Source organism: Homo sapiens, chromosome 22 (genome assembly GCF_000001405.40).
Source record: "Homo sapiens chromosome 22, GRCh38.p14 Primary Assembly".
Taxonomy (NCBI): Eukaryota; Metazoa; Chordata; class Mammalia; order Primates; family Hominidae; genus Homo; species Homo sapiens.
The window spans coordinates 30,331,988-30,350,444 of NC_000022.11; the positions used below are offsets into that span (position 1 = coordinate 30,331,988).

At 49.3% G+C, this 18,457-nt stretch overlaps 1 protein-coding gene across 1 annotated transcript in view; it reads right to left on the minus strand.

The window, feature by feature from the left end:
- Nucleotides 1–18,457, minus strand: part of SF3A1 (splicing factor 3a subunit 1) — a 24,907-nt gene continuing 6,450 nt past the window's right edge. The window contains exons 3-16 of the mRNA NM_005877.6: nucleotides 14,325–14,532; nucleotides 12,946–13,203; nucleotides 10,818–10,892; nucleotides 10,213–10,363; nucleotides 9,705–9,898; nucleotides 8,708–8,825; nucleotides 8,209–8,394; nucleotides 7,143–7,264; nucleotides 6,802–7,047; nucleotides 5,703–5,910; nucleotides 5,039–5,193; nucleotides 3,665–3,766; nucleotides 3,480–3,551; nucleotides 1–2,708 (exon numbers count right to left, since the gene is read on the minus strand). Of these exons, the coding sequence (NP_005868.1) occupies nucleotides 2,607–2,708; nucleotides 3,480–3,551; nucleotides 3,665–3,766; nucleotides 5,039–5,193; nucleotides 5,703–5,910; nucleotides 6,802–7,047; nucleotides 7,143–7,264; nucleotides 8,209–8,394; nucleotides 8,708–8,825; nucleotides 9,705–9,898; nucleotides 10,213–10,363; nucleotides 10,818–10,892; nucleotides 12,946–13,203; nucleotides 14,325–14,532 (2,197 nt within the window). The 3' untranslated portion in view covers nucleotides 1–2,606. The remainder of the gene's footprint in view (nucleotides 2,709–3,479; nucleotides 3,552–3,664; nucleotides 3,767–5,038; nucleotides 5,194–5,702; nucleotides 5,911–6,801; nucleotides 7,048–7,142; nucleotides 7,265–8,208; nucleotides 8,395–8,707; nucleotides 8,826–9,704; nucleotides 9,899–10,212; nucleotides 10,364–10,817; nucleotides 10,893–12,945; nucleotides 13,204–14,324; nucleotides 14,533–18,457) is intronic.

An 18,457-nucleotide genomic window follows, 5' to 3' on the forward strand; every position in this document is an offset into this window, starting at 1 on the left:
TTAAGATCTTACATTTTGCTTTTATTTTTAAAAAGTAAACTTCTAAAAATCTTATACACTGGTATGTGTACCCATGAGTAGAGCTATATTATGCTTTCTTGTCTAATTACAGGGATAAATGAAATATGATTGCTAATAGTACATGTATTTCCATTCAAGTATATATCCTAACATAACCCAATATAACCATTTAATATATTCTCTAATACAATATTATTAATTTTAAAGTAAAATGGTTCTGATCATTACTGGCCTCCTCTAAGAGTACATGACAAGTACTTAAGTAGTGGGTAGAACTGAAAGTGAAATTCCTTAATGTCTACAATTCCTGGAGCCCTCTGCATGCAAGTCTTCAAAATTATGGTGACTTAAGTCCCACACCACCTGTTTTCCCAGCAGTCCTGCAACAGGAGCACTTATTCCTATTTCATAGTGTGGTCTGGTGGAGCAGAGCAGTGTGGTCCCCAGGAAGGGATGAGCTGCTTTGGCTTTCCAGAGCACTCACTGGCTACATGACCTTGGGTATTCCACCTCGTTTTAAAAATGGGGCAGATAATCCTCAGGAGATTGCAAGAAGAATCAGAAAAGCTGTGCAGAGCAGCTTTGTATTATAAACACTAGGACGCTACCTACATGCTGCAGGTCCTAAACTAGTGCAGTGCCAAGCAGCACACTGGGCCTGTGGCCACTGATGTTCACAAGGCCTCATGGTCAATGGAGCTTCTGCATCTGAGCGAGCCAGTACAGATATTCATTCAGGAGCTCCAGGAAACTGGATTTGCTCTCTAGAGGGCAGCTCAAAGGGCCCATTCACTCACAATCCACCCAACGGCATTCCTGGCCTCCGGTCACAGCCTCAGCCACGGAAGTCCTGCAGGGTTTGCCAGTCTGTGGGGGTGAGTGCCCTAACACCATGAACTGCCCACTGCTCCCAGAAAGAAAGAAGAACTTGGAATATGAGACTCCCCAGGTCTCCTGACCCTCTTCCTTCTTGGAATGAGACCCAGGTAGTGCTCAGGGGATTTCTGGTGTTGGCCATGGACAAGCAACCAGTAGTGGGCTCACTTTAGGGACGCAAACCACAAAGCCCACCTCAGGAAGCCAAATTTCAACTCTTGCCCCTGGGGCAAACTTCTAGCAACCAGGCCAGAGGCAAATGTCAGACAGGATAAGGGATGACATCCCATCAATCAAGTTGAAAATGGGAGGGACCCAGCAGTTTGTAATAAAGCCATAAAACTGGTACTGACTCTGGGTGAGAGGGAGAGGCAGGGTGGTGACTAGAGAGCTGGTTCTGTGACCTTGGGAAATGGTCTCACCCCTCTGAGCCCTGGAGATGACCTGATGGGGCAGCTAGGAGGTCCAAATGGAAGGACTGCAAATAAAAGGCACTGGGAACTCTCAGGGGCCACACACATGTGAGATCTTCCCAATAAAATCAGCCTTAGCTTTAAAACCAGGAAATTGTTAGCAACAGGCTCTCACCTTCCTCCAACACCCACAGCATTGCCTATCTCCCTGTGATAGCTTGATTCTAAAGATAACAGCCTGCCTTTACTCAGAAACCAGGACTGTGACGTGTTTTGCACACATTCTCTTTTCACTTTCACAGTGTGTGACTATGGCATGCAACTTATGTTCTCTGTGCCTCAGTTTACTCAAGTGTTAAACAGGAATACTCACATGAGGATTACATGAGTTAAAATGGATAAAATGGATAAAAGTAGAGAGTAAATTATTTAAACTTTATCAAATCCTTGGTACATGACCTTAATACAATTAAGTATTTGTTAAATACATACATTTTAAAGAAACGTCATCATATCCACACACCTATGAGGCACCTGCCCAGGACCACAGAGCCAATCAATCAGGTGATGAGTGATTCCAGGCCAGCAGGAAACCACCGCCCACTGACACAGGGACTGCACCATCCATCCTTGGTTTGCATGGTGCCTGCCATGCTTCCTGTATTACTGTTAAATACATGGGGCAGGCCTTTGGAGGATCCCAATGTTTTAAAAGGGCAATACGAATATGATTCTAATACATAAAAAGTATGAGGGCAGCAAGAATTTAGTTACAAAACCCAAAAATCCTCAAAGAGAAGCCACATAGCACTGTGCAGTGTTACCACTGCCTCGAGTCTGGACAGGGCACAGGTGACCGAGACAAGTCTTATTTAACTGATTTCACAAGAAGGGTCCGAGTTTTATTAGACAACCCATGTCAAGGTACAAAATGATTAATGACAATATCAGCCATATTCTATTAGCCAAGTGCCACCTGTCACTATGAAACTATCCTGTAGGACATCCCTGGGCTCTCAGTTGCTAATGGGCTGCTGAAGAAATGAATGTCCTCAAATCGAGACCCTAACACAAAGAGATTCCAGAGAGTGGCTTAGAAAACCCAGCTACTCTTACCAATGTGGGGAAAGGGTCAGGGGAATGAACCTCTGCAGGACAATTTGAATTCCCAAACTGAGTAAGAGCGAAACAAATATGCAGGCAAGGCAAAGCCTCAGGGGGGCTCCTGGGTCTGGGGCAGGGGGTGGGAGACAGGAGAGGCAAAATGGCAGGGACTTGACAGCAGGTTCCTCTTGTCTACTTCTTCCTCCCGCCTCTCTCCTTGAGGGCCAGGTGGATGACTGCGCCATTGGCCATGTTGTAGTAAGCCAGTGAGTTGGAATCTTTGATGAAGATACCCTGGAAAACAGACAGCGTGCCTTAGCATGGGGCAACCCAGCCTTGGGGATACCGCTGCAACCTTACAACTGTGCACTTGGTCTGTTTGCGCTCTGGACTTAGCAAATACAGGAGCTTGTGAGAAGGTAGGGTGTTGGGGACTGGAGGCCTCTCATTCCTCCCACTGTTTCCTTTCTTCCCACCAATTACGCTCCTCCCCTTTGTCAACATTTGACTCAAAAGCTCAACTCCCCAAAAAGTTGGCCCCTCACCAACTCCATGGAGCTCTGACTCTGAAATCACAAGACCTTTAGGGATCACTTAGCCCAACAGCCTCAATGGATAGAGATAACTGAGGCCCAGAGCAGGGATTTGTTCAAGTTCAGAGAAGAAGAACATTAATGCCTCCATGTGACCTGGCATCAGGCGGGGCTAGACTATCACCTCCAAGTCAGGCTGCCTGAGGTCATACTGGCAGGGATGGCCCAACCACTGGATCAGGAACCCACCAGAGCATGCCTAAGTCTTGTCACTAAATCTCTATGCCCAGTCATTGAGGCAAAGAATCTTACAGATCCCACACAAGACTCTACTGTGACCCCACCAGAGCCTTGCATTGTTGGGCACACCTGCCCCAACACTCCCAGCCAGCATCATGACTTCTAGGATGGATTCAGATGGCCACACCCAGATATCACTCCACTCCCCTTTTAGCTTCCATGACAGATTTAGCTTCTGTGAAAGCAGAGGTGTCAGGACCCAAGGGACAGGTCTGTGGACAAACTGACTCACCTCATACTGTAGCTTCTGTTTCCCTGCAGGCATGCCTGTGGCTTCATGAATCTTCACCTTAATGACAGAGACCTGTGGGATCAAGCAGCGGTCATTCAACTCCTTGGTAAGGCCAGCTAGAGGAAGCTTTCCCCTGAATGCTTGGTTCCCATGCACCTGATGCCAGTTTCTGGCAGTACCCATACCTGGTCCGTGAGTGGGAGGGTGAAGACCAGCACCTGCCCATTCAGTTTCCATTCCGTCTTATCCTGCATGTTGGGCACCTGGACTTTGATGGACACTGGACCCTACAAAACAGGAGGTGGTCATTATGCCTAGGGAGCTCGGAGCCAATCAAGAACTATGCTCTGCTATCCCTAGGCCTGTCCAGACAATGTCACCTGTGCATCTGGGCTCCTGGATTCTGGCCTGATTCACCACTGATAACCCCTTGTGAGGTTGTACAAGTCACCCCCCTTTGCAAGATTAGGTTTCTTTTCTTTAAAACAATCTCTATCTTGTCTCTTGGTGAGTCTGGAGCTAAACTGAAGAACTTTAGTGAAAATACTCTGCACACCCCAAGGGAAAAGAATATGACCTGCAGGGTCGGAAGACCTGGATTCCCAACTCAGCTTCCCAGCTAACAAGGTTTGTCTGAGCCTCAATGTCATTATCCACCAGACAGGGTTCATGACTGTTTTGAGTATTGAGGGGAAGTGTCTGTAAAGTGCTTAGCTCTATCCTGGTACTTAAGCGTTTAAGAAATGGGAACTATTATTAAAAAACAAACAGAGCGGGTGCAGTGGCTCACACCTGTAATCCCAGCACTTTGGGAGGCCAGCGTGGTGGATCACTTACGGCCAGGAGTTCAAGACAAGCCTGGCCAACGTGGCGAAACCCCATCTCTACTAAAATACTAAAAATACAAAAATTAGCTGGGTGTGTGGTGCACACCTGTAATCCCAGCTACTCCGGAGGTTGAGGCATAACAATCACTTGAACCCGGGAGGCAGAGGTTGCAAAAACAAAACGAAACAATTTGGTCAAATACATTGGGGGAGCAGAGGCCGGGGCTGTTTCTGTCTCCTTACTGCAGCCTGACAGCTTCCCTAGTGATTAGCAGTGACAAGGTCCCCACCTCCCCTTATTCCAGGACCCCAACAGGATCCCACCCAACAGGCAGACCTCCTAAGGGCTAGAGCTGGGGAGGAAGGCCACAGTAAATTTTAAAACACCACACACAATTTCCTCCAGGTGTCTAGGGTCCCTCTCACACGTGAGTTGTGCTGCCCGTGCTGCTGGGTCTCCCTGTTGGCCTCTGTAAGTCTACACCAGAGGGACCACCACAGTCACCACCTCTGCCACCACTACCATCACCATCACCACCAATGCTCTCTGCTCCTCCAATTGTTGGCCCCACATTCACTGTGTGCTCAGAAGCCCTTAGATGCCTCCAACAGCTGACCTAGGCCCCAGAAGCCAAGACTGGGAGTGAAATAGGGTCAGTTTCGCAAGTGTACGACAGGGGCGGGACTGAACCCTCCAGCTAGAAACTTCAGCAGCATTCTGGGATTACATACCTTGTTTCTGCGCAGGAACTCCTCCTCTGGCATGAGGCTGTCCTCTGTCTTCAGTTTTTTGGAGGTGGGCTCATCTTCCATGGGAGGTGGGGGATGCACAGGGGGCATTGGGGCTGGAGCTGGGACAGGTGCCACAGGTGGAGCAGGCACAAAGGCTGCAAAGACAAGAATAAGCAGCCCCATGAGAGGGCAGAAGGGGCCCAGGACTCAGGGCTGATGAGAAGTTGAGAGGGAAGGTTGCAAAGGTTTCCTCTAGTCAGAGGTGTCAAGTGCTGTTCCCTGCTAAGTCTGGCAGCCAGCAGGTTCCCTGGCAAGGGGACCTGGGAGGCTGCCCAGATTGGACAGCAGAGGACTGCAGGAGGGGCAGGACTGATGGATGGAGCTAGTGCCAAGCAACAAGCATTTCTCAGGCCTCTGAGCCTGTTGGGGACCTGATCCCTGAATGCACAGACACTGGCTACACCATTTCAGCCTCTCATTTCTACCAGGAACGGTGGCTCCCAGCTCTAGGGTTGCGGATCTTTCAATGGGAAGCCAGGGCTCTCCTCTGGGCTGGATACCCTGCTGGAACAGCTGGCACTAGCATCAGCCACTGCTCTGCTGACAGTACTTGGCCCGTGGTCCCTGAACTAATGGCCTGGAAAATGATGCAAGAGATACTGACCTGTTGGCACAATCATGGGGGGTGGGCGGGGGGCCATAATAGGAGGGGCCGAGGGAGGCATGGGCACCACGTTGATTCTGGGCGCGTGGATGATGGGCGGCATGGGGGCGATCACTGAGCCTGGGGGCAGCCGGACCACAGATGCCATTGGGGGCCGGGGCATGACGGGTACTGCGGAGACAACTGTAGTACGAACTGGAGGTGGCATCTGTGCAGGAAAGAGACCCACAGATTACAGGAAGCCAAAGTTGGACTCCAAGGTCACACACAGTTGGCAACTGGCTGCCTGCAGCTCTGAGGATGGAGGTTAGACAACTACGTCCTGGCCCCCTGGGACTGAGAAACTGTGGCCTACACTGGGCGTCCAATAGGAACTGAGCTGCTGAGAGCCCGAGGATGACACTCTCTCTACTTGGGACTTGGCGGGTCAAACTCGACCTGCTACTTTGGCAAACACTGAAAGAGTCACTAAAGAGGCTGAGACCTTGGCCAGGCACAGTGGCTCATGCCTGTAATCTCAGCACTTTGGGAAGCTAAGGCAGGCAGATCACCGGAGGTCGGGAGTTCGAGACCAGCCTGACCAACACGGAGAAACCTCATCTCTACTAAAAATACAAAATTAGCTGGGCATGGTGGCGCATCCCTGTAATCCCAGCTACTTGGGAGGCTGAGGCACGAGAATCACTTGAACTCGGGAGGCGGAGGTTGCGGTGAGCCAAGATCATGCCATTGCACTCCAGCCTGGGCGACAAGAGCAAAACTTCATCTCAAAAAAAAAAAAAAAAGAGGCCGAGACCTCGACTAAGTCTCTCCTGGAGACAAGCCAACAGTCCTCAAAGACCCAATAAGCCCTGCAGCCCTTCTCTGACGCCAACTGGTTTCTCATATTTGCCACTTACCTCCCTCCCTGTTCCAACCCTCCTCCACAAACAGATCAAGAGAGAGGTTCCCACTTGCATTTAAAGGGCTCTTTCTCTTTCAAACTGACCCACCCAACACTCAGGCCCCACTAAAAGGCAGCTGCACTTCTCAGCCAACAGTGTCCGACCTCAAGAATGAAGCTCTAAAAAAGTCAGTTCCAGGGTAGATGCTGGCTTACTGTGGGTGGTCGGGGCACTGAAGTGATGGGTGGAGCCGAGCTGGGGATGTTGGTGGCTGAAGATGGTGGCGGTGGCTGTTGAGGGATTTCATTGGGCTTGCTGGGGCCAATCTTCTCTTTAGTGTCATCCTCTGGCACCAGGCCTTTGGCCTTGTGAATGGCCTCAATCTGCTCCTGGAGGGTGATGTTGGCCTGGGCAGCCTGCTGGGTCCGGGCCATGCTGCCTGAGTGGCCATCCCAGGTCACCTGCAAGTGAAAGCAAAGCCACAATGCTTCTGGAACTAAGACCAAGTATGGAAGACGGGGGGCAGAGAAGGCACTAGGTTCCACTTTAGCCGCACCTTTTCCTCTGGCTTCTGGATCTCCTCCTCACCGATCTTCTTACCAATGGCTGTTTCCTCTACACCGAAGATGTCAGTACGCCGCTCAGCCAACTGCTTCAAGCTGCTCTCAATATCCAGACCTGTACAGTCACAAAACAGAGGCAGAGGATAGAAAGAGAAAATAAACCAGGTGTCCTGACAAGAGAGCAGCTTTTCTGGTGTGCAGGGAGGAGGCTGGTTCCATGGGATGAGGGTGACTCAGGGCCCCAACTCTTGTCCTCTGGGCTCGGGGAAAGCTGCCCGATCTAAGCCTATAAACCCAGTGCTTGGGCAACCCCTCTGACTTAGAAAAGAACGGTAGGCCAGGCACAGTGGCTCATGCTTGTAATCCCAGCACTTTGGGGGGCCAAGGCAGGAGGATCACATCTGAGGTCAGGAGTTCGAGACCAGCATGGCCAACATAGCGAAACCCCGTCTCTACTGAAAATACAAAAATTAGCCGGGTGTGGTGGTGCGTGCCTGTAATCCCAGCTACTTGGGAGGCTGAGGCAGAAGAACTGCTTGAACGTGAGAGGCGGAAGTTGCAGTAGCCAACATGGAGCCACTGCACTCCAGCCTGGGAGACAGAGTGAAACTCCGTCATTCATAAATAAAACACATAAATAAATAAGATGGTGAGTTAGAGAGGGCAACTGTGTGGAAAGGGCCACATGGTGTAAGTGGCAGAGTCAAAACTAGAAGCCCAGTCTCCCACCTGTGGCACAGTTCCTGCCCCATTCCAAAGAGCTCATGGTACTCCAGCCATCAATGCTCTCCTTCTAAACAGCCACAGGAAGCCCTTCCAGCTAAAGCCAGAGCTTGCTCTGGGATGTCAACAGGCACATGGCATCTCCTTCAGTGTCTGCCTTTGGGGAATTTCTATGGGGAGTTCTTCTGGAAAGTGGGGAGTTCTCTTGCAATATCATAGAGTGCAACTCTCCTCAAAAGCTTTTGTTGACCTCAATTGTTGCTTTCTATGTTTGCTTAGAAGAAGATGGCTGTAATTCGGAGACTACCATGGGCTCTCCTGGAACCCCCACCTCACCTGGTGCGTACACCTCATCATCGCTCTGCTTCTCACGGATGGAGCGATCCCGCTGCTCCAGCCAGCGAGGGTCAAGAAGTCCAATGCGCATGTGTTCCTGCATTTTGCTGGCGGGGATCTTCTCCCCAGTAATGGGGGACACAAGATACTCATCTGGAGCAGGGGCTGGAGGCAAGGGCTTGGAGGCTAAAAGGAAACAGATGTTTCAGTAAGAACACTGGTGGGCAGCCACCTGAGTTAAGAGGGTGGTATTTCATGCGTGCATCATTCATCAAGGCATCTATTCAGTGCCACTCTTGTACCTGGCACTGTGAAAGGCACTAGGGCACCAGAGATGACTGGGCCCTGTTCCCACCATGAAACCTGTAACAGACGGGCTTGCAATGCTTTTACAATAAGCTGCACCTCAAGCCCTCCTAGAAAGACGGGTGTGAGGAACACATGAGGGCACACAGGACTTCCTGGGCAGCCCGAGGGTTGGGAAGCAGGCCCTCCCTACCTTTGGGATCATAATCCTTGCGGACAATGACTTGGTCTGGAGTTGGGGGCAGAGGTGGAGGCATGGGTGTCTCTGGGGGTGGGGGCACTTTCTGCCCTTCTTCTTCATCATCTGAACCCTGAAAAGCAAAGCAATGGCAGGACTCAGAGAGGGGCTGAGGCCACCTCCCTGTAGCTGAGCCTGGCAGGTCTCTGGGTGGCAAGGAGCCTTGGCCTCTGCCAGCCAGCGTCCATGTGCTAAGCCTCCCAGGGCAGCTGAGGCCAGCCGGCAGCAGGCCAAGCTGCTTCCTCACAGCATGAATGGGAGTGCTGAGGCCACGGTCCTAGCACTCCTCCCAGGCATTTCCAGCAGCTGGCACCAGGCAGTCCCAAGAGGCCAAGGGCACTTAACATGCCGGGGGGGGACAGTGCCAAGGGGGCGAGGGGTGGGGGCGGCGAGTCGCCAATCAATGGTAGCTGCTCACACAGCAATGCTGGGAGGGAGAGAAAAAGTCATTTCCCACAGACAGGGGCCCTTTCTTCTCAGGCTGTGCACAAATTATTTCCGAGTGGGGGAGAACAGTCTGGTTCTGGAGACTCCATGCCTGCTTAGAGGGCCTGGCTTGAAGGGGGTAGGGATGCCTGAAAGGAAGCGTGGGCTACATTTAGAAAAGCTCTGGGAGCTTGGAGCCCAGCTGAGAGCTCAAAACAGAACAGGGTAATGCAGTGAGTTCCCTGAGGGCTGGCACGAGGCAGTGAGAGCAGGCTGTCCGGGCCAGGGAGGCGGCCACAGAACAGGTCAGCACAGCTTTTAGATCCTTGCCTATGAATGAATCTTTGTTGCCGGAGCTGGAAAGAGGCTCTGTGCTGCCTGGACTTGGGCAGCTGTATGGCCTTGTTCAGGACCCACGCCTCCTTTCAAGGCTCACAGGGGAGCTGGATCTGACTGGTGGAGAGCACTTCGACCTCCTGGGGCTTCAGGGGAAAAGGTCATCCTGCAGGCCTGCCCAGCAGCTTACCTCATCCATATCTTGTACTTGGGTGTCCTGGTCCAGCTGGGAAGGAGGCTCCTCCGCCTTCTCCTGTTTGTCATCCTCCTCATCAGACTCGACCTCCATCTCAACTTCCTCACTCTCCCCAAACTTTTCATAGCGCTCCTGAATGAGGATTCGGGCCCCCAGCTCCTCTGGCGTGGTGGGGGGAGGGAAGTTCCCTAGAGGGTGAGCCAGAGGCAAAGGTATTCCTTATCAAAGACCCACCTATTTGCCCTGTCTGAGCTCCCCAAGGGCTGGGGCCATGTCTGTTTTCTCTCCAGCTATCTCCAGAGGCCCATCTAGGGTCTGGCAAGTACGTATTGAATCTAAGTTGGGCAAAGTGGTAGAACTGAAGTCTTTTGGGAGCAGGGAGGAGACAGCACTGATAAAGCCCTCTGAGAGATTCTACTGCTCTCTGGGAACACCTGCACCAGGTTTCCCGGGAAGTCTGAGTTCCTGGCTCCCCATCTGGAGTCACTCCTCACAGACCTACCTTGCTCATTGGGTTGGAAGTCCACTGTTTCCACCACCACAAAATCATGCCAGTCGATCTGAGCATAGGCCACCCGCTCCTTCTCCTTCTCCTCTTCTTCCTTCTTCCTCTCACGTTCCTGGAATTTGGCCCATTCCACTCGGTAACACACCTGCAGAGATGGGAAACAGCTTGGTGCTACGCTGAAGCAGGGTCTGCTCCTGATGAGGCTACCACCTCCAGGGCTTTCATCAAAGTCAGCGCCTCCTTCGGAACAGAATGGAAGTATGGTTCCAAACTATGGCATTTGCACCTGGTTCCACCCAGGTGCAGAGTTGGGACAGAATGAAAATTCCACCCTCTGATCTGCTTGGGAGCTGGCCTTCTGTCTTCTAGCTAGAGTGGAAAAGAGGGAGATATATTGAGGCTGAGAGCAAAGCAGAAAGTTGTGGTATGTTGGGAAGCATCCGGACTCCAGGTTTCTTTGGCCTTTGTAGCCAACAAAGCCTTTTCTCCCACCATTCCCATGACTGGAACATAACAAGGTCCTGCCTCAGAGACTGTTTTCAGACATAAAACAGAACCAACCACCAGTAACTGGTTGCAAGAAATGCTATTCAGTTTACCTGATCCAAAACTTCTCGGGGGTTTTCAGCCTCTTTCTTGAGCTTTGAAAATAAACCTTTGGGTGGAATCAAGATCTGAAATACAGAAGAGTTAAAGCAACTGTCAGTGCTTTACAACGCAGTACAAAGAGGCAGCCTTCCTGGGCCTGTGATAAAGCACAGGAGATGAGGAAGCATGGGATTCTGTGTCCCAATCCCAGCTCCACTTGGCTGTGGGACTTAGGGCAAGTTACTTAACCTCAGTAACTTGATTTCCTTCTCCAAAATAATGGCACCACCACTCAAAGTTGGCACCATGAACTTAAAAAGGTGGCTTCGAGGATTAGCAGGAAAGCATGCAAAGCACTAGCCGATTACCCAGAACACGGTCAGTATGAGACGGCTGCTTTCATGACACTGACCTGCTCTCATCCTTTCAAAAACACTACGCAGGTCCCCCCTGACTATCCTATTCAGAACCGCAGCGTACTTGCCCCACCTCCCTCTATTTCTGCTCCCTGCTTTCTCTCTGTAGTATTTAGCACCATGTAACAGACACTGACAATGCACTTGACTCCTCCTCACTAGACTAGAAACTCCATGAAGACAGGGATTTCTCTTTTGTTCACGATTACATCTCCAGCCCCCTGAATAATGTCTGACAATGTATACTTACTGAGAGAACAAATGCTGCCTTTGTTCTAAACAGCCCCAACAGCTTCTACTGCCACTGGCAAAGTGGCTCGGCCCTATCCCAATCCTCCTTCCACCTCTACCCCAAGAATCTATCTGCTCAGTCTTCCATGGCTAGAACAGACAGCAGGAACCTCAAGTTACAGTGGTAAATGCCAATACCCAAGTTCTGAAGAAAAAACAGGAAAGTAACAGAATAAAAAGTGATCTGGGACCTTTAACCCTGGAAGCAGTCCACTGGGAGAAATTAATCCAGGGTTCATTTAAAATTGATATTGCATATTTATAGAAACCCTTGGGCCTTGGGCCTTGAATGACTGTTATTTTAGCTACCATACTAGCTTCTGGATTTGGTCATTTTCTAAACACACACATTGTTAAAATTCTAATTATGTACTTAAAAGTGAGTAGAGTTAGGAAATTCTCAAGTCCTTTCAAGTCAGATCTTTGAGGTGTTGTTTCTGGATATGAAGAAGAGATGTACAGACCATCCCACTGTAAAGGGAAGGAAAACAACCTCCATGACATGTGTAGCAAGAAAAATGTGCCACAGGCAAAGCTGTCAGTGCACTTTGCAATAAATTAATAATCTGATTATTTTAAATGCCAGAACTGACTTGTCCTGATTCTTGATTGCAGCTCTGTCAAATGATAATTGAGTTCTTAGGGTCTGGAGTAAAAATGCCAGAGCTCAAGCCCCAGCCCTGCCACCTCCTAGCTATGTGACCCTGGCCATGCTAACTTCACTGCACCTCAATTTTCTCTTCTGTAAAGTGAACATAGCAATAGTGGCTACCTTATAGGCTACCGGAGATTAAATGAGAAGATGCTGCATACATAATTTCTTAGTGATGTTAGTTATACTGACTTACATGACATCAAAGTGTCTCTCAACACCTATTTAAATGCTGTTTCCAATTTAAGGCACTTTATAAGCTGAAGAACCAAAGTTTTAGGGTCAAATGTGGTTTAAATCTCAGCATAGTACTTACTAGCTGACAGACCTTGAGTACGTGACTTCACCTTTCTGAGCCTGTTTCTGCTTCTCAAACATGGGGGGAAAACACCTCATGGCTTCTTGTGAGGACTAAGTTAGGTAAAAGGAGGCAACTCTTAAAGGTTGGCTTCTTCTCAGGGCCTTACTAGGCAACTGAAAACGGAAATGCACTTAAAAGCAGCAAGCACCACGTGGCCTTGTCACATAGCAGGCAATCGCCTAATGGTAGTTAGCAAGCATGTATTTCCCTTCTCTTTAGAAACCGGCAGTCTGTGTTGCACTTAAAGAAATAACTGAATAGAAATCAAGGTTTTACATTAAACTGGGATTCAAAACATTTGCTCAGAGGCCCCATGGAGAAGCGATGTCCTTGTAGACAGTGAGTGGACACAGTGCTTCCAAGCATAAGATGTTTTCCTTTCCTGGGCCCAGGACCCCAGCCCCATCCTGCCCAGGCACCTTGGTGTACTGTTCCACTAGCTTCGTGAAGTAGTTGAAGAGGCTGTGCTGTGGGCGGAGAAAGTCAAACTGGTAGTTGCGCTGCTCTTTCTGCATCAGCTGGGTCAGAAACTGGCGCCCATTCCTGGCCACAAACTGAGCCGTCAGCTTCACCACATCCAAGTCGAAGGCTGAGATAGAGGGAGGATCAGCAATGAACTCAAACTCAGGAGGAGGCTCTTTGGGCACGATGGTCTCTTGGATTACTTGGGCTTGGACCTAAGATGCAAAGGGAGTATGAGGCGAGAGGCACAGGGGTGAACAGGCTCCAGGGGAGGGGAGGGGAGGGGACATGGGCATGCACCCCTCAGCAGGATGCTGTGAACCTCTAGACTTCTGTTAATTATGCACACACCACTAGCACTTGGTGTGAGAGAATTCTAAATCACAAGAGCATTGACTTCCCAGCCAACTATGGCCTCAACTTCCTGAATGGCTGAGTGAGAACCATTCCCCTCTGTATCTCTGCTCCTGCCTTGAAATTGAGGGCCAAAACTGGGTGACAGAAGATCCAACAAGAATAGGACTTATTAAATCCCATCCAAGAGGGATGGATGTGCAGAAGGCCTACATGTGTGCAGAAAACCCCACTGTACAAAGTGTTTCCATGACCTCCGCATGAACGATGAGGTAGCACAGGTACTGTGAATCCTCTTTACAGATGAAGAAACTGAGGTAGCCTGAGGTCCTAGGCCTCATTGCAACGCAAGGTCTTAGAACCTGACTTCAACCTTTATAGCCCACTGCAAAAGGAGGGACTGCCTTTTCCACCATGGTTCAGGAGTGCAGAAGGCAGGTCTGGACAGGAGGAAAAACATGTCAGCCTCTCTCTTCATTCATAATCCTAATAGTCCCTAGTGCTGGGCCTCAGCACAGGGAAGGTGGTATCAGGGGAGGCCAGGATGGAGGGGTCCTGGGAAGAAGAGATAGAAGGGAAGGGATGGCACAAGGAGGAGCCCACAGGCCACACTGCATCCTTCAGCACAGCCAAGTAGGAAGTGCTGCCCTCACATCACGGCACTGCCCTCACACCCTGAGCAAGGCCTTGAATAAATCACACGTCCCCCAACTCTCAGGTTCCTCATACAGCCTCTGTGAGGAGTCAATGAGACAAGACTCCTGAAGTACCAAGCACAGAGCTTGACAAGCAGTGCTCGGGAAATGCCAACTAACATCAGTACTTTGCTGTCTGGGCCTCGGTCTGCCTCTGAGAGATGGGGATAACGACCTCACTTCTCTCCCTGGGTGGTTGTGAGATTTGGAGTTAATTGTGTACTCCCTCCCTATCCCTGTTTCCCTCTCAAGCCCTGCGTAAGTGAAGGGGGCACTGGGCTCCAAACCTTCTGGGGCAGCTGCTGCTGGGTGGTCTGCTGCTGCTGCTGCATGACCTTGGGGATGGCGGCGGACGGCTCCTGAGCCTTCCCTTCCTTGAACTCGCTGACCTTGTGGCGGTAGTAGGCATGGTAAGGGTCATTGGGGTTCAGAAAGTTGAACTTGGGGTTGTTGATCTCGTTCTGTCGGATCCTAGCTTCAAATTCAGGCCCGTTTCTGGAGGAAGAAAAAACAACAAGAATAAACACCACTCCCTTGTGCCTGCTGTGATCTAGAACACTGCCCATTGGAACGTCCTTCTTGCCACCACCCACTGCTCAAACCAGCCCATCCCTCAGCAGACGTCCTCCTCTAGCTTCCTGGCATTGGCGATCAGTGCCATCTGCCTCATTCAGCTTGAACCAGGCCACCTCTGCCACAGGGTTTCCCTGAACCCAGTCATTCCTTAGCTCCTTTTCCAGTTCTGCCATTTCCAAAACCATCTAGGCTATCGCTCATTTCTTTTAATAAAATTTACTTTAAAAAAAATCTATTTAAGATGGAGAATACATATTACTACTTCAAATAAAAAAAAATCAGTATGCCTTTACCAACAAAAGGTAGTCAAAAGTGAACATAATGAAAACAAAGTAATACTGTCAAAGTTTAGCTGGAAGTTTGCTGAGACTAATTCTCTTAGTTCAAAGGGGTAGCAAGTGCTGGAGAGGTGTAAAAGGTACATGAGCACCAAACCTAGACTTTGTCCTCTGAGTAACAAGAAAGACTGAAAGACATGAAAATTTAGTTGATTTGAGCCTGGGCAACAAGAAAAGACCCTAACTCTACAAAAAAATATAAAAATAAATTAACTGGGCATGGTGGTGTGTGCCTCTAGTCCCAGCTACTCAGGAGGCTGAGGTGGGAGGATCACTTGTGCCCAGGAGTCTGAGGCTGCAGTGGGCTAGAATCGTGTCACCGTATTCCAGCCTGGAAAACAGAGCAAGACCCTGTCTTTAAGAAACAAACAAACAAACAAAAAACAAATAGTTGGTTTAACGCCTTGTCCAAGTACTCCCTAAAACCACCCCCATTATACTGGTGAGGCCCACACAGGAAACATCCTCAGCAAAAACCCAGACTCGTACAGCTGTATAAGGCACCTTCAGATGACAGGGGTGTGGTAAGATCAGCAGGGAGGTCTCCAACCACTGTCTGTACCTGGGATGGTTCCCCAGATATGCCCCATGTCCCCAGCAAGCCTTCAAAACCTCAGGATAATGAAAAAATGTCCCTATAATGATGTTTAGGGAACCCTGATTTTTAAAATGTCCCAACAGTAATATTCAAAGTGCCACACTTATATACAACACCTGTGTCAGTCAGAAAGTACACGGACCTTAAAGACACAAGATATGAACACGTTCAAGTCTCAGGTTCACTGCTGACTCACTCTGACCCACAGCAAGTTACCAAACTACTCTTTGCTTCCATTTCCCCATGTGTAAAATGCAGCTAACACCAGTTTCCCTTTCTACCTTGAAACATTATTGAGGAGATGCCAAAGTGTTTTTGTTTTATAGACAGGGTCTCACTCTGTCACCCAGGCTGGAGTGCAGTGGTACAATCTCAGCTCACTGCAACCTCCACCTCCTGGGCTCAAGGGATCCTCCCACCTCAGCCTCCTGAGTAGCTGGGACTACAGGCATATACCACCATGCTCGGCTAATTTTTTTTTTACATTTTGTAGAGACGGGGTTTCACCATGTTGCTCAGGCTGGTCTCAAACTCCTGCGCTTAAGCGCCTTGGCCTCCCAAAGTGATAGGATTATAGGCGTGAGCCACTGAACCCAGCCCTCAAAGTCTTTTCAAATCGTACAGTGGCCTGCAAATGCAAGGGGCTAGGAGGGGTTGTTCCATAAACATTGTCTGTGGGGCCTTCCATTGCTCCTCTGGCGAGAACCTTGTACTTAGAACTGCCCCAAACACACCAAGGCATGGCCCCGGCATCTGGTGCCAGCTAGCCAGCTCCACTCTTCAGACTTTCATATCCCTGGCCTGTGAGTTTAAGAGGGGGTGGGAGCCCGGCACAGTGGCGCACACTTGTAGTCCCAGCTACTCAGGAGGCTGAGGCGAGAGGATCACTTGAGCCCAGAAGATCATACCCAAGCCTGGGCAACAAAATGAAATTTCACCTCTGAAAACAAAAATTTTTTAAATTTTTTTTAAGACAGATGGCAGGAGACAGGGTACAGGCAGTGCTGTGCCCCAGATCAACCACCACAGCAATTATGTGCCACACTAGTGATCGACACCCAGGCTGGCTCCTCAGCAAGTCGTGGTCATACCCTGCCGTGTAACTAACACCATGAGGTCTCAATTTGACAGTATATTAGTCTAACTGGAACCTCATGCTTTGGAAAAAAAATTCTCCCTACTCCTTAAATAATGCAAACCACACATAAGAATGAAGGTGAATGCACACTTAAATCCTGCTAAACTAGGCCACTATACCCAGCAAATGCCTCGGGCAGACAAAGGGCTCCTGGAAAAAGGGGCCCTGGTTGTCTCCTGTACCACTGCCTAAGCCATAACTTTACCCCATCTGGGAACAATCTGAAAAATAAAACAATGAGAAGGCTTGGCATGTTCATTCCAAGCTATTCAGTTGCTTTAAATTAGCTTAACGTTAATTTTAGAATCATACTCTCCACCAGAAGGAATAGATTTCAACAGAAAAAGACATGATTCTGACTCAACCCAGCTGGTGGGACTTTTTAAGGGTAATTTCCACTTCAGTTTCTTGACAGGAACATGCAGGAAATGAAAAGGCCTAACCTAGCGAAAAAACTTTTGGAAAACCGCTCAGTTGTGCATTTCTACTGCATGCTCCATAAATATACGTGAACCCAGGAGAAGTGAAGCACAGAGTTCTGCATGCCTGCTTTAACTCGGATATTGGTCTCTTTGTTGCAATGTAAACGATAAGTTCACAGATTTTATTTATTTATTTACTTTTGAGGCGGAGTCTCGCTCCGTCACCCAGGTGGGAGTGCAGTGGCACAATCTTGGCTCACTGCAACCTCTGCCTCCCGGGTTCAAACGATTCTTCTGCCTCAGCCTCCCAAGTAGCTGGGACTACAGGCGCCCGCCACCACACCTGGCTAATTTTTTGTATTTTTAGTAGAGACGAGGTTTCACTATGCTGGCCAGGCTGGTCTTGAACTCCTGACCTCAGGTGATCTGCCCACCTCAGTTTCCCAAAGTGCTGGGATTACAGGTGTAAGCCACCACACTGGCTCACAGATTTTAGAAATGCCTACAAAAGCAATCACCATAGCTAAAAATCAATCTAGGGATGTGCATGGTTTTGGATTTTTTTCTTTCTTTTTTTTTTTTTTTTTGAGATAGGGTCTTGCTCTATCGCCCCAGGCTGGAGTACGCTGGCATGATCATACCCTTGACCTCTCAGGCTCAAGTGATCCTCCCAAGTGGCTAGAAATACAGATATGCGCCACCATGCCCAGCTAATTTTTTTATTTTTTGTAGAGACAGGGGTCTCACTATATTGCCTACACTGGTGTCCAAGTCCTGGGTTCAAGCGATCCTCCCACCCTGGCCTCCCAAAGTGCTGGGATTACAGGCGTGAGCCACCTAACCTGGTCATATATATTTAAAGGGACCTTGGATATCCTCTTATTTCTTTAGCAGCAGAGGATGGCACAAAATTATTGGAAAGCTACTTGGCAAAATGTTTAAGAAATCTTTTAAGGATGCTCTTTTAGCCAATAATGAGCCACACAGAATTTTCTTCTAAGGAAACGATCTAAAAGGGAAAGAAAATGCTCAGAGATTTCCCCACAGCTTAATTTGCCAAAATGAAATGTTGGGAACAGGCCAGGTGCGGTGGTCACTGCCTGTAATCCCAGCCACCTTGTGGTGGCTGAGACATGAGGATCACTTGAGGCCAGGAGTTCAAGACCAACCTGAGCAACACAGAAAGACCCCATCTATACAAAAAAACTAAAAAAAATAAAAAAAATAAAAAAAAAATTAGCTGGGTGTGGTGGCAGGCACCTGTAGTCCTAGCTACTCAGGAAGCTGAGGTGGGAGGATAACTTGAGCCCAGGAGTTCAAGGCTGCAGTGAGCTGTTATCATGCCACT